General features: G+C 40.0%; 1 protein-coding gene across 18 annotated transcripts in view; it reads right to left on the reverse strand.

Annotated features, from left to right (window-relative positions):
• Window positions 1-15,970, reverse strand: part of RALGAPA2 (Ral GTPase activating protein catalytic subunit alpha 2) — a 323,115-nt gene that overhangs the window by 233,927 nt on the left and 73,218 nt on the right. For all 18 annotated transcript variants that reach the window (XR_007067471.1, XR_937111.3, XR_007067470.1 and 15 more), the window contains 3 exons: window positions 13,907-14,045; window positions 11,962-12,161; window positions 5,907-6,134 (listed from right to left, as the gene is read on the reverse strand). Coding sequence is in view for 10 of the 18 variants with exons in the window: in XM_011529310.3 (XP_011527612.1) it covers window positions 5,907-6,134; window positions 11,962-12,161; window positions 13,907-14,045 (567 nt within the window). In the remaining 8 variants the exon portion in view is untranslated. The remainder of the gene's footprint in view (window positions 1-5,906; window positions 6,135-11,961; window positions 12,162-13,906; window positions 14,046-15,970) is intronic.

The raw sequence follows: 15,970 nt of genomic DNA on the forward strand, positions 1-15,970 counted from the left end.
CTAATAATTTTGCCAAAAATAGAGCAAAAACTGATAGGCTTTCAAAAAAAAAAAAAAAACAAATCCACAATCAGAGTAGGATACTCTTCCAAAAGTGGTAGAACACTAAGCAAAAAAATAATGCAGCCAGGGGAGATGGGAACCTTCTCACCAGATCCTCCAGGTCTCAACCTCTCACAGCTCTCACCTCTCTGTCTCTCTGAGGTGCATTCAGGATAATTTCTTCAGATTTGTCATCCAGCTCATTCTCTCCTTAGCTGCATCTAATCTACAATTAAACTTATCCATTTAGGTTTTCTTTTAATATTCCAGTTATTACATGTCTTTTTAATGTCTGGAAGTTCTATTTTCTTCCTAATCTGCATTCGTCATCTATTTTGGTGTCTTTTATTTCTTTATTTCTTTAAATATGTTAAACCTATTTACCCTAAAGTCTCAAATTATACAACTGAAGTCCTTGTGAGATTGTCCTGTTTCTTCTGATTTTTATGTCTAGAAAAGTTTTGACTCACAAATTCCCAAGGGGAAAAAAATGACCCAAGATCATTATACCCAGCTAAGCTGCTCTTTACACCTAAAGGAAAAAGACGCTGGACGCGGTAGCTCAGGCCTGTGATCCTAGCAATTTGGAACACCAAGGCGGGTGGATCACCTGAGGTCAGGAGTTCGAGACCAGCTTGGCCAACATGGCGAAACCCCGTCTCTACTAAAAATACAAAAATTAGCTGGGTGTGGTGATGCATGCCTGTAATCCCAGCTATTTGGGAGGCTGAGGAAGAAGAATCACTTGAACCCGGGAGGTGGAGGTTGCAATGAGCCAAGATCGCACCACTGCACTCCAGCCTGTGTGATGGGAGCGAGACTCCATCTCCAAAAAAAAAAAAAAAAAAAAAGAAAGGCAAAAGAAAAACCTTCCCCATCATAAAAGGACTTAAGGCATAAGCGTTCCAGGACATCTTCCTGAAAACACTCAATGACAAAACAAGGCCAAGCAAGAAAAATTAAGTATTTTAGAACTATGGAACAGGATGAATTAATCTGTGTAAATACAGAATCAAGACTAAACAACTCTGTACATTAGGATTCTGAAATCAACTGCCAATGATGCTATATTTATAATATAAATGTATAATAAGATGAAATTAGTAACTAGAGGGGGCTAAAGAAAATACATGGCTGCTAATTTATTCATATTTCATAGCAGGAAACCCATAGTGCTATCTAAAATTACCATGTGTAGTTCAAAAGTGATTCTAACACCTCAACGTTATTATAATTTTTTTTTAGTTTAGACAAATCTTTCAGCAATTAATACTTCTTATGGTAAAGAAATATTCATTGGATTTTAAACAATTCCTTCACTTTTCCTTTACTGTCTTTTCTTCTGTTAAATTCAAGTAAAATTCAGAATTTTCATTAATTAAGAATGAATGAATGAAGAATTAAGGATTCCATTGTCATAGTTACTCCGTCAGTCCCCATCCCCACCCCAGGCACTTTTCCATACCTCCCCTTGTGCCTGCCTTAATCTCAACTGACGTCTGTCTGGTTCCACCTTCACCTGTCTCTACCCATGCCTCCCTCCCTCTTGCTTTTCTGCCTGCCTGCCTATTTCTGTCTGCCTATTGGTCTATACCTGCTTGCTTATTTCCATCTCTGCCAGCTGGCCTATCTGCACCCACCTGTTTGTTCTTCTACACCTGCCTGCCAGTTTGCTGATGTCTATCAGTTCACCTGTACACCCCCCTGTCTCTCTACCAGCCTGCTTTCTGTCTGTTTATAATCCTTTCTTACCCATCTCCTCTCTGCTGGTGTCTCATCTATGTAGCTAGCCAGGCCCCAGCCATATATACACATATAGAAAGACCAGACTTTCTTCTAACATTAATGGTGGTGTTTCGAGGGATTTGCTTTTGCTTTCTCCTCTATAATTACATATACAGAGAGACTTTGTTTATCTAATGAACATAGATTTTTTAATAAAAATAAAGCTGTTTAAAATAAAATCAACCAATAAAACAACCTAATGAACAAACATCCTTTAGAGCAGTGCTTCAAACTTTTCAGATCATAGCCTAAGTAAGACACTTTACCAAAGGATATATGCATTTGTATATATAGTATTGTACACACATAAATAAATTAGAAGTTTCACAAAGAAATAGTAATCCTTACAACTTGAACTACACTGTGAAATATTTGTTCTATTCTATTTTATTCTGTTTCATTGTTTAAAAAAAATACTAGTTTTGACTCACTAAGTTGGTTTCATGACCTACGAATAGGTCACAACAGGTAGTCTGAAAAACGCCAATGAGAAGACGAGTTTACAGTGAAGTGACCCAGTGACCAGGACTGCCTACACGAAGCATTCTACCACTGCCTGGCCTTCCTGCTGGGGATGGCAGCAGATGAGGGATACCCTGAGCCTTGTCCTACTTCAGTTACTGTCTATTTCCACCACCCACATTCAACTCACTGAACTACCCAGTCCAAGGTGACCCACACCAGGTGGTTCTTTAGCCTCTGTCATGAGCCTCTCTGCCCCAATAGCTCACCAGCATTTATTCCCAAGTCACTCATGGACATCTGATCTACCATCTCACACTGTTCTCTGCAGCATACACACACACCTTATCTCTCCACTGAGAATGTGCACTTCTTGAACATCCATTTTAAACTATAATAACCGTTAGGCTTAAACATCTGTGAATCTTAATTTAAAGTTGAAAAAACATAGTTATTTTGAAAGAAGTCACATTTTGTTTTCCATAAAAGAGAAATTCATCATTGACCAACAGAGCAATAAAATGCAATTGTAAAACCCATTCCTCTTTTCCCAAATGTTTCTATTTCAGTATTTTAACAACACATAATACTTAGATTTTAAACTTCACATACACAGTTACTCTTTCAAATTAGATCTGGTTAAGAAAAATTATAAAATGTAAATGTTTTTAAGCTTCATGACACTAAGATGTCTCATAACTTCAGTCATATGTAGTCTATAGTCACCTCAATGATCAAAACTACTTCAAAATTGAATTTAGATTGGGTTTAATATTTAGACTGAATTTAGAATTTAGAGCACACTATTGCCAGGGGTAGGATGCCAATAACAGATACAGTCAGAATTATTTGTATGATAAATTAACAATTACACAATAAAGGTAAAACCACAACAATATAGCATTTATCTGTTGTCTAAGATCTAAAAGCCTTGCTAATGTCATCTTATCTGATATGAAGTATTTTCATTCAAGCATTTAAAAATGTTACTATAGATCAGAGTCAGCAAACCATCCAGCCTGCTGCCTATTTTTGTAAATAAAATTTTTCTAGAACGCAGCCATCCTCACTTGTTACATGTATCTCTGGCTGCTTTCTTGCTACCATAGCAGAGTTTAGCCCCTGTGACAGAGACGTACGATCCACGAGGCCTAAAATATTTACTAGTTGGCCTTTTGCTTTAAAAAGTGTGCTGACCCCTGCTATAGATGATACACTCCAGGACCTTGACTATTTCAAATCAATAGTTGCTATGGACCTTTCACATGTACAACAGGAGCATGAATATGACAACATTAATGTAGGGAATGGGGTAGATTTTAAAATCGTGGACTATTACGATAAAAAGAAAAGTTGTGGCAGTATGATGTGTGCAGTACTACCTAGAAAGGGATGACACAGAAGGATGGGAGCTCCAAGGAGAGGGCTGCTAACCACAGTCAAAGAAAATGGAGAGGAAAGGAGTGAGCAAAACTCCTGTGTGACTTGTCCAGTGACTGTCATAGGAGGAGAGGGAGATGGGGAACCTAGGATCATTAAAATTAAGATGCAAACATGAATACAGGTCCCTTTGAAGAAGCAGTCAAGTCAGGAGAAGAAGTTGATATTAGGGGAAAAAATCAGCCCGGCTTTGGTCTTGTTATCATTAAGATACTACAGGAACATCAGATTGGATGGCACGTGGGCATTTTAAAAGGCAAGTGTAGGAGGCACCCAGTGCCACCTTGTCTACATTGTTCAGTGACAATGTAGACACTGAGAGTCTACACCTGGTTTACCCAGTCATTCTGCCTGATTTTGGCCATGTGATTAGTTAGGTCTAAAAGCCCTCTCAGTAAACTTGTGCCCTGTCTTCCCTGAGACAGACATCTCACTCTCATGTTGGTGAATCATGATCCCGAGAGGGCACACTTTCTGTGCAGCAGAGGGAGGGCCCTTGAAGCTGTGCTCAGGTGTAACCGGCCTCTGTAGCATTGCATTATGCTTTCCGGCTCCTGGTGTGGTATATCCGCTGCCAGTAACAAATCTTTCATGAGTATAAAAAATTTGTTTAATGAAATTAATGTTTTTATTTACAAGTGAGGTCCAGACAAAAGGCTTGACTGGGAGTCATATGCCACAGTGGTTGCTGGCACTGGACAGGCAGTAAAGGCCCCAAGGAGGCAAGTGTAGAATTACAGCAGAGACTTGAGCCCTGAATCTTGGTTAACACCTGTAATTTGGGGTGAAACAAAAAGAGGGGCCAAGACATGAAACAGAGAAGACACAGAGAGTGAGAAGAACCAAGGCAGTGCCGGGCCACAGAACCAGAAAAAAATATTTTATAAGTGGAATGTTAATTGCAGACTAAACAAACATTTTCTTAAGTAAAATTTTTTCTTCATTAAAATGAAAATATGGTAAAATCTCTACACTGCTATAGATTAGGTTGTGACTTTGTTTTTGGTTGATTTTTTGTAATGAAAGTCCCAGAAGTGAGAGGGCCAAACATTCACTATCTCAAAAACTTGCCTCACCATAAGAAGTTCTCTGTGGTGCATTCCCGTCATTCATATGTCTAAGACTCTTCTTCTCCTCCTCACCTACAACTGGACTCTGCCATTCAAGGGCTTAACCTACTTTTCAGGTCTATGGACAAAACAACTATTCCACCTCATATACACATACCCACCAATAGGCCACATTCCCTGTTTTCAAGAGCACCAGTACCTAGAGTCAAGTGGCACTGGCCACACGCCACACTCCAGACCTGTGGGAGCTCTGTTTGCTGTGTTGAAGGCTAGTACTGAGTTTCTCCACAGCAGCACTACTGACACATTGAGCCAGATAGTTCTTTGTCATGGTGGGGGTGGGGGCCATTCTGGGCATTGCAGGATATTTAACAACATCCCTGGCTGCGACCCACTAAGATGCCAGTAGCACCCCCTCCCCAGTTGTGATGACCAAAACTGTTTCCAGACATTGCTAATGTCCCCTAGGGAGTAGCATCAAACCCAGTTGCAAACCTCTGATGTCACTCACGGCCACTAACCGTAGCCTGGGCTTCTGACCTCTTCTGTCTCCTTCCTTTGCTCACACCTCTTTTCGTGTCTTGGCCTCTGCTCCTTTCTTTCCTTTTATTCCCCTTGCCACCTACCTTTTTCTCTTGTGCCATAAATAATTCTATCATATTGTGAGTGCCACACGCCTCTGCAGAGTTTTTGCAGAAACCTCCAGCTCCTCAGAGAGCTCCGTGAGGCTCTGGGAAGAAGACTGGACTCTTCTTTGCTATGTTCATTTGTTGCTGGGTATTCAGGAACGGCTTTCTTCCCACCTAACTCTGGGTTTACTTTGTTATAAAAACATGAAAGTATTTGTCTCATGATTTTGCTCAAATATAGAATTTTCCCTCCTTGTGTAAATATTTTGCAACAACAAAATTTAAAAATCACAACAATCCTCACAAATTAAAAGATTAGAGGGATCGTTCTTTATTATTCAGTTCTGTAACATAACCCAACTCACCAATTCTATTTGTTGGCGTGTTACAAGTAAAAGAACATGAAACAAAATCATTTCCATTTCAAGAACTTGTAACACACACACACACACACACACACACACACACACACACTAACCTGGTGAAATACTTCATTCACGAAGTTGACATAACCTCGTGTTGACAAGAGAATCCGCTGTACCATTTCATACACCATTCGGTGCTCTTCTTCAATGCTACAGAGGCTGGAGTTGCTGAGTCTTCGGTCCGACAAGGTGCTGCTGTTAGAATGGCTTTTGTCCTGCTCCGTGGGCCCACCACCATCCAGCTCAGGCGCTCTCTCCTGCACAGCACCACCACCAACAGTCTGGAAGAAAGTCAGCACACTTCTCAATGATGCTCACCCCCACTCAAGAACACCTGGCAAAACTTCAGTCTTGCCTTGTTTTAAGTAACTCTGGTTACCATCAATGTGCACAGGGTACAGCAAACCAAAACCAGCTTGAAGCACGATAGGCTCCAGAGCCTGTACTTACCAATTTTCTAACTAACCAACAAATCCCTCCCAACTCAGCTATTTTAAGAGGAAAACTACTAAGCTATTTCAGAAAGGAGGGCTGTGAAATTTTCCCAATCTAAAAGGTTTAATTTGCATTGTAAAACCACAGAATAAATTAATGTGTAAAAACATTTGTATTATCATCACATCAGGTCTCTACACTTTAGCATTTGCTCCTATGGTCACAGAGATTGGAATATTCAGGGGACTTCTTGCAGCAACAATGCTAGGAGGCATCATTTGATTCATATGACTAAGCGGCAGCTTGACAGTGGAGTGTGAAGATCTTTAAAGTGTATTTTATCAGAAGAATGCTGATCTGAGCTTTATCCTCAGAATCTTAGGTCAAACATAAATAAATATTCACAAAATTTTAAACATTTAAAAGACTTTAGGCATCCAAAGAAATGAAGTAATTCATGCAATCACTCACAAAGCTTAACACTGATTTCTGCTCTCGTATCCACATAGAATTAAAGGTTTACTCCAAACAAAATATACATATAATTTTGCTTCACCTTTGCAAACTCCATTATTACTTTTAAGTGTCAAAAATATATAGCCCAAATACAACTAAAATTTACCCACTGTGAGTATTTTTTACAAGAAGAGACAAGATATGAATAGTACAAAACAGTAATTTCAGTAACTACCAAGGACAGTTTGAAAACAAAACAGATATCCAATAGTAATCTCTAGAGAAAATTAATGGATTATACTTGTAATAATTTTTCTCTTCATGCCTTAGTTACTAAGCCTGTGTGGCTTATGAAAGGCACTGTCGCACTGTAAGATGTGCTCACCTATGGAAATTATTTTATCTTTTTTACAGATCCACTATCTTCCACAGGAAAATAAAACTTTATTCATTTTATTCTTTTTCTATCTGAAGCTTCAGCAGGAATGACTCAAGGATGAGTATGGTACAGAAAGAAGAGGCCCAAACTAAGTCTCAAAAACTTGCTTCTCCACATTCCTAACTGTAAGGCAACCCACGCAACGCACTTGGATTTCACATATACACACGCATATATGTTAATCTGTAGGACACAGAGGCTAGATTAGGTCTAAAGTCTCTTATGGCTCAATAACCTGTGACTTTTTGACCTATAACTCCCATTTTCCCCACAAACTAAAAAAGAAAAAAAAAATATGCACATAGATAGCAAATTAAAGATGACCACAAATTCTTTAACACTCCTTCCACAGAGACGTGAGGCCCATGTCCCCTCCCTTTCATCTACATGGACTGTATGACTGCTTTAGCCAGTAGAATAGAGTGGAAGAGACCTAGCCACTATCAGACCCGGGCCCAAGAGGCTGACAGTTAACAATTCCCATCTCTTGAAACATTTCACTCTTGGAGCCCTGAGTAGGCATATGAGAAGTTCAACTACCTTATTAACCAGAAAACAGAACAAGAAGTCCCATATGAGCCCAGCTTTCCTTTCCAACTGCCCTCATCAAGTAGCAGGCATCTGAACGAAGTCATCTTGGACCTTGCAGACCAACCAGTGCTGGTGGGCTGAATAATGACTTCCCCAAGGATGTCCTAATCCCCAGAATCTGCGAATGTGTTACCTTCCAGGGCAAAAGAGACATAACAGATGTGATTAAGTTAAGGATGTTGGGATAGAAAAATTATTTTGGATTATCCAAATGGTCCCAATATAATCCAAGGGTCCTTATAAGAGGGTGGCAGGAGGATAAGAGACAAAGAAGGCTAAGTGATGATGGAAACTGGGAGAAAAGGTGGTGTGATGCAGGGCCACAGCCAAGGAATACAGGTGGCTTCTAGAAGCTGGACATGGCAAGAACACAGGATTCTCCCCTAGAACCTTGAGAAGGAACACAGATCTGCCAATAACTTGATTTTGGATTTCTGACTTTCAGAACTGTAAGATAATAAATTTGTACTGTTTCAAGACATTAAGTTTGTGAGAATCTGCAATAGTGGCAGTAAGAAACTAACACAACAACTTACTGTGAGGTATAGTGGCAGTCTCTAGAATGGTAGTGGCCATTTCTAGGGACAGTCAACTGCAGGGTATGATGGCACAGAAGGTACAAATGGCTGTCAGCCCAGCACTCTTTCTCCCTCCCTACCAGAACCTCAGTCCTCTGTGTGCCTCCTCCCATGCACCTCAACTGACTTGCAGGAAGCTGACCCCATCCACAGTACTAGGGACCAATCTGTTTTGTGGAGGACAATCATGACATCTCCTGGCCCATTCACACACCCAGCTTTTTTTTTTTTTTTGAGACAGAGTCTCGCTCAGTTGCCCAGGCTGGAGTGCAGTGGCTCGATCTCCGCTCACTGCAAGCTCCGCCTCCTGGGTCCATGCCTTTCTCCTGCCTCAGCCTCCTGAGTAGCTGGGACTACAGGCGCCCGCCACCATGCCCAGCTAATTTTTTTGTATTTTTTTTTCAGTACAGACGGGGTTTCACCGTGTTAGCCAGGATGGTCTCGATCTCCTGACCTCGTGATCCGCCCGCCTCGGCCTCCCAAAGTGCTGGGATTACATGTGTGAGCCACCGTGCCCGGCCCCTAATTGATTCCAAAGTTCCAACCTTTAAGATGTTAAAAAAGCTAGATAGTAAAAGTAGATGACTCACAACTGTGAAGAGTCAAGTAAAAGAAAAAATCAGAAGCTGGAAGCAGTGGTTAATTTGCTGTTCTTTCTACTTCTCATCATCCAGATGTACTTTTCAAGAATGAGCTACTTATTTTCAATAAATACAGGTGATGGTTTTCTGACCTTTTTAAACCAGAGAGGAAAGGTTACACCCATTAATTAAGACTTTTTTGAACTGAGTGACAATCACTTAAGATGTGATGTAAATTTGCCAAAGAGCATGACTGAGTTTCCTACACATAATTTCATACAGATTTTTGTCTGCCTGATAAGTGAATAAAGGTATCTCATCATGGTTCAGAACTAACTGCATTTCTCTGACTGCCGGTGAAATCAGGGGTCCCTGTAGTCTGCCTTCTATGAGCTGCCCTTTCATCTCCTTAGTCTATTTTTCAGTGGGGTTGTTTGTCTTCTTACCAGTCCATGGGTACTCTTTACATAGCAGAGATATTAACTCTTTTAACAGTCACAATGTTACTTCATAGTCTATTGATTGGATTTGGCCTTCTGTAGTCTTTAGACATAAAAATCTTTCACTTTTTTTTTTTTAAATAAAGTCAAACCTCATTTCTTCCACGGCTACTGGGTCTTTCTCTCTCTCTCTCTCTTTCTTTCTTTCTTTTTCTTTCCTTCCTTTCTTTCTTTTCTCTTTCTCTTTCTTTCCTCCTTTCCTTCCTCCCTCCCTTCTCTTTCTTTCTCTCTCTTTCTTTTCTTTCTTTCTTTCTTCTTTTTTGAAATGGGAGTCTCACTCTGTTGCCCAGACTGGAATGCAGTGGCACAATCTCTGCTCACTCCAACCTCCACCTCCCAGGTTCAAGCGATTCTCCTGCCTCAGCTTCCCGAGTAGCTGGGATTACAGACGCCTACCACCACGCCCAGCTAATTTTTGTATTTTTTGTAGAGACGGCATTTCACCATGTTGGCCAGGCTGGTCTCGAACTCCTGACTTCAAGTGATCTGCCTGTCTTGGCCTCCCAAAGTGCTGGGATTACAGGCGAGAGCCACTGCGCCCAGCCTACTGGGTCTTATTTCTACCTAAGGTAGTCTACCACTTCCCAAATTTAGACACTCTCCTGGATTTTCCCTTCTCTTACAGTCTCGCTCTGTCGCCCAGGCTGGAGTGCAGTGGCGCGATCTCCGCTCAGTGCAAGCTCCGCCTCCTGGGTTCATGCCATTCTCCTTCCTCAGTTTCCTGAATAGCTGGGACTACAGGTACCCGCCACCACGCCCGGCTAATTTTTACTAGAGATGGGGTTTCACCATGTTAGCAAGGATGGTCTCGATCTCCTGACCTCATGATCTGCCTGCCTCAGCTTCCCAAAGTGCTGGGAATACAGGTGTGAGCCACCGTGCCCAGCCTACATTTCTTCATTATTTTGTTTTTATTGTAGACCTTAAATAAATCTGACATTTGCTTCAGTATGTTGTAAGAGGCAAGGTTCTAGCCAACTATTCCAATACCATTAATTAATGATTCTTTCTTTTAATCTTGACTGACATCCTGTGGGGGGATGTGTATGTGTATGAAGGAGAGAGAGAAAGAGATTGCAGGATTGCAGATTTGATTAGATGTTCAATACTAATCTCAGTCTCATTCCTTTGAAGCAACCTGTCTGGAAACCTATACTACTGTCTCTTAATTCCTGAAAATCAAATGTCTGTTTAGGTTTGTATCTTGATACTTTTTCCTGGGACTCAAAGACCCTTTAAGTTTGAGGCACACCTTTTTATTTTTTTTTTTCAGTTCAGATAAACTCTTATTATTTGTTCAATTATTCTCATTCTCTTCTTCTTCCACCCACCTAATATTTGTAAGGTAGGGACCTGTACTTAGATCTTGTCTACTAATTTCTGATTTCGAACTCTAAGTTTTTAGTCACTGTCATGGGATCTTTTTTCAGAAAACTAATTTTTTTCCCAGCAATAATCATTATCATTTTCATTTTATTTGCTAATTTTTTAAACTAAGACATTTAAAGGTTTCTTAAAACTTTCTTTCAGCAAGTCTTTCATTGTTCTTACTGTAACTGCACCTCCCTCAGATCTTAAAAATAAGTTCTCCTCTAACTCTTCAGTGACTTCTCCCCAGTGGAGCCGCATGCTCTAGACTGTTTGGTGTTCCTCCATCAAGGTTCCTAATAACCTTGAAGCACAAGAGCCACTTATCTGCCTCCTCAGGTCTGTGCATTCTTTCAGCTCAGGCCTAGGTCGGAGTTCTGAGACTTCTAGGGCATCGGCAAATCTGCAGTCAGTGGACCAGACTTCCTATCCCTGTTCTTGGGGACAATAAACAAAAGAGCACACAACACCATGATCCCTTAGCGAAGTGGCTGCTCTCTGACCTCCACAAATGGTAGTGCTCCACCAAGTCCCTAAGTAACTCAGCCTGTTGGGAAAGACCCCAATTGTGTATGGCTGACCAAGGCCAAGAGAGAAAAAGCACAACAGGCCCCACACAAGGAGAGGTCTCTTCTGAAGGCCTCTGGGAAGAGGTGGGCTTCTCTTCTAGGGGCCCCACCATTGCTCAACAGCCAGCCCCAAATCCTGAGCTGCTGATCTACTTCCCTCTCCTGAGATGCCAGAGGGTGCTCGGCAGCTTCACAGGTCCTTTCCAGGGGCCACTTACAGTTTCCTAAGTGCCTTCCAGCTACTGGGGCTTGGTGAAAGCAAGACAGGCCTCTGTTCTCATGCTCAGAGGCCACTGGTACTCAAGTGAGGAGAATGAGGAGGAGCCAGGAGTGTGCACACAACAGCTATCTTCTCAAAATGGCTCCCGAGATTGCATCATCATGGCAGTCCCAACAATGCACAGCAAGTGATTCAAACTCACAACTCCCTCTGAAACCTTGGCATTACAGACAGGGTAGGCCAATAAAATCACTTACCTATAACCAACAACTTGTAAGAACCAATAACTCTAACAATCAATAACTTTGGCTATGTTCCAGTGTATTTTATTACACAAGCATTAACAGATAAAAAGATGATGGATGGCATACCTGGATGATTTTAGGCAATACATCAACTCCATTTTTAGTGTTTTGTGTTGCAGTTAGATACTTTTTTTCCAAAAAGAAGGTTACAATCCACTTAATAAAAACAACACGAGCTGCCATATATGGAATCTTTGTACTGTAAATGTTCTCATTGTCTCGAGTGGTAGTAATGTACACAGGCTTTGGTCTCAAATGGGGGATGTCTGGTAGAAGAAAGAACACATGATTGATTAGGTTAATAAATCATAACATTAAGTAATCCCTACAAATGTTTTGGTTTCCAATTAAATCCAATTTTTGGTTGTCTAAATAGCAACTAAGAATGAAGAACCGCAATTATTTAAAATGGCATTTTTTTGGTAGGCTCCTTTCTGATTCCGCCTTGTGATCTGACTGAGAATGAGTGATGATGGTGATTGTTTATGTATCTATGATATACAGCTATGGAAAAACTAAGCTAACAACTATTTTTAACAATTTTGATAAATTACATGAGACTATAATAGTAAACATCTTTTCACATACATTATACCTAATTTAATTTTATTTTATAGCTGGAACAAATGTAAAAGTATATATGAACTTTTAAAACATCATTTTAGGTATTTTAACATCTAACACTGCAGTGATTAAATCCACTGAACTTTAGAGGTTTATATCCTTTTCCCTTTAGATGAATCCAATGAAACAGAATCAATATCATCTACTTTATATTTAAAAGAATTAAGAAAGTCACATTTCACCTTTGAGGCATCAAATGCTACCTTTTCCAAAGACTTAATAAGAAGTCAGTTTCTCATTCTTTAAATTCCATAATCAATATGAAAATTATATGGTATTGGATTTGAGATACTACTTGCCATAAGTTCAACTCTCTATCTTAATAATTTTTGTATATCTGGAATACCTGTATGAGGCAGAAAAATGATCAACAAATAACTTTTAATCTAGGAATATTAACAATATACCATGTTTTTAAAATGAATTTAGACTACATATAAAATCAGAAACAAATTTTGAAAAAATATTCACATATATATAGCTAAAGAAATACATGTCCCAGTGCACCTAAAAGTCAGTAATTCTACATCTTTCAAAACTCACCAAGTTTTGGCTTCTCTCCCCGTGTGTGTGTGTGTGTGTATGTGTGTGTGTGTGTGTGTGTGTGTACGCATACATAGAAACACACAGAGTACAGACAACTGAATCAGGTGACCATGTTCCCCAAAAAAGTAACATCTCGTGTCACCACTTCCCCTCCAAAACTGTTTTTAATTATTCATTTGAACTAGTTTTACCTGTTTTAAATAATAGGGAGAGGAAGATTTGACCCCCACCTTTACCACTCTAAGGGATGCTTCTGTCCTGTGAGTCCTCATTGCTTACAGAAGAAAAAAACATTAGGAGCCAAATTGGAAATTCCTTTCTGTTTCCTAGTCCTCTGGGGCTTACTGTCCATAGCTTGTCCAATCACCTAAAATTTGGTTCTCCATAAGCACCTGTCAGTAGTAGCTGCTGGATGCAGGACCCAGCATAAAATAAAAGGCATACAATGGCAGCTGTTTGCCTTGGGCTGGCCTCCAGTCACTGAGCAAAGCCTGAGGTCGCCATACCCCACCACCCACAAGGAAAGACTTCAGGAAATGCAGAGATTTTTACATTAAAAGATGACAATGTAATTATACCAAAAATATCATAAATACATTTCAAATTATTTCTGAGTATAGGAGCCACGGTTCCCTTTTACTGCTGTAAGCTGAGGTATATCTTAGTTGGTACAAATAATTAAAATCACTTATTAAGAAACTTTAAACATTTAATAATAAAGTTACCATTCAATACAAAAATAAAATGACTATTTTACTTTAAAATAATCAAAGGTCACTTTGAAAGAGACTGCATAGCTTTCCTTTGGATATCCTCTATACACGGCTCCAACAGTACTTACCAAGTACAGGTTTGTAGATGTTTGTTAACTTAGTAAATGATGGAAATAAATGAGGAAGATAATACTTTCGAAACAATGTAAAAAGAAATTTAAAACCAGTATCTTGATTCTCCTTATTCTTCCACTCCAAGCTCGCAGCCTTTGGATAATATGTGGAAAAGAACATATGTATATTTATATTTCAAATTAACATATACTAAACTGAAGTGTTGTTATGTTACTAAAATTCCTAACCTAAATGTAAAAAATGACAAATAATATTGACAATCATGTAATGAAATAATAACAAAGCTCAAAAGATGGCAGGAATGAATACTTCAAAACAAAACAGTAACTATGTTAAAAACAGCATTTTTACTTAGAACCAAATTGCTCAATGATATCGTATCTTTTATAACGTGCTGTAATGTATCATGCCCATATTTTTTCTCTACGTTTTTTGTAATTATCTAACATTCCTTGTGCCTTTAAAACATTTAGTCACAAACAATCAGGTGTTTTTTTCTAAACTCAGAAAAAGGCCATTTATAATAAATAGAAATTAAAGAAACAATCCCTCTCAAGAATTTCAACCAATGTTACCTACATGTAAAACCAATATCAAAAGGCAAAAGCCATGGAATCTTGGAAAATGCATTCTCCGTATTAAAAAAATTCAAAGGCTACGATAAACCAGACATGCCAGTCCACTATGGATTAAGTTTAAATGTTTCATTGTGTTGAGATAATATCCTCCCCCTCAAAAACCCATCAGTGTTTGCATAGTGGGAGCACTCCAAAACTGCTCAATAGCTGGGACCGCCCCTCAGGAGCCAGGAGGACAGCCTGGTTACACAAGTGCAGTCACCCCCAACATGACTTAGGGAAACACAGCCCTTAGATAAGACCTGTTGGTGGTTCTTAATGCTTGTTAGACCACAGAGCACTCTAAAGCAGGGCTTCCCAACTTCCTTCCTGACATGCCCACTTAGAAAATGAAATTTGTGCAGCACCTGAGGTAAAGGGATGAGATGCTTTGGCTACCGCAGGGGCAGCGGGGTTCAGCATCCATAACCTGCCAAAAGCTGTGCTCTGAGAACTCATCTCAATCGACAGAAGAGAAGGCAGAAGGGAGGCACAGATATGCACCTAAAACTCTGCACACAATTAGGAAGTTCACAGTCTGCATGCAAACCTCTATCCTATATCAATTCCATCCGCCTTATCTGAGGTCACACAACTCATTAGTGACACACCTAGAATGAGAACCCAAGGCCCCCAACACAAGTTCTGGATACTCTGTTGATTTTCCAGGATAAACTGAATGTCCAAACACTTCTGAACAGCTGGCATTTGAGATGCATCTAGAATGGGCCATTAGAGTTCAAATGTGGAGTTTCCAGAATATGAAAGCATGCCCCAGTCAGGTTCTCAGGATTGTGAAGTCCTGTGTTTCTGTTGCTGGCTAAAGGCAAAGGGGCAAGGAAAGGGGACAAAATTGCTAAGTATTCAGAAAGAGCAGCCAAGTACTGAATCTTGAGAGACAGCAGAGAAAAGCACAGTTCCCTAAAGAAAACTAGAAAGGAGTGAAAGGAAGGGAGGAGAATTGCCAGAGAAAATATCAGAAGAGGAGAGAATCTCATGAAGGAGGGGTAGTTAAATCCCCTCGAAGAATGAGGAGAGCAAAACCTGAAGTGTGCCCTCCTTCTGGGCTGACCCTAGAACCCTTGTGGTTTGGGGCTTGCCACTTTAGCAGTGACAGGGCAGAAGGCAGCTAACAGTGGGTGTCAAAAGAACATGAATGAGGATGTGAACTCAGTAGAGATTATTACTTCAACAACTCGGTTGTGAAGGGGAAGACAGATACTGGACAATACCCAGGATGAACTCAAGGACAAGAGAAGTATTTGCTGAGAAAAAAGAATCAGTACATTTTATTCTAACTATTATTCAGAAATCTAGACCAGGAGTCACAAATCTCCTATTAAAATCATAAACCAGTTACTTCAGTTCTGTAGGCAATTGGTGCATATGAGAAAAATAATACATGACATAAAGGAGGCCTGTGCCAATGGCATGAGGAGA

This window comes from Homo sapiens, chromosome 20 (genome assembly GCF_000001405.40).
Source record: "Homo sapiens chromosome 20, GRCh38.p14 Primary Assembly".
Classification (NCBI taxonomy): domain Eukaryota; kingdom Metazoa; phylum Chordata; class Mammalia; order Primates; family Hominidae; genus Homo; species Homo sapiens.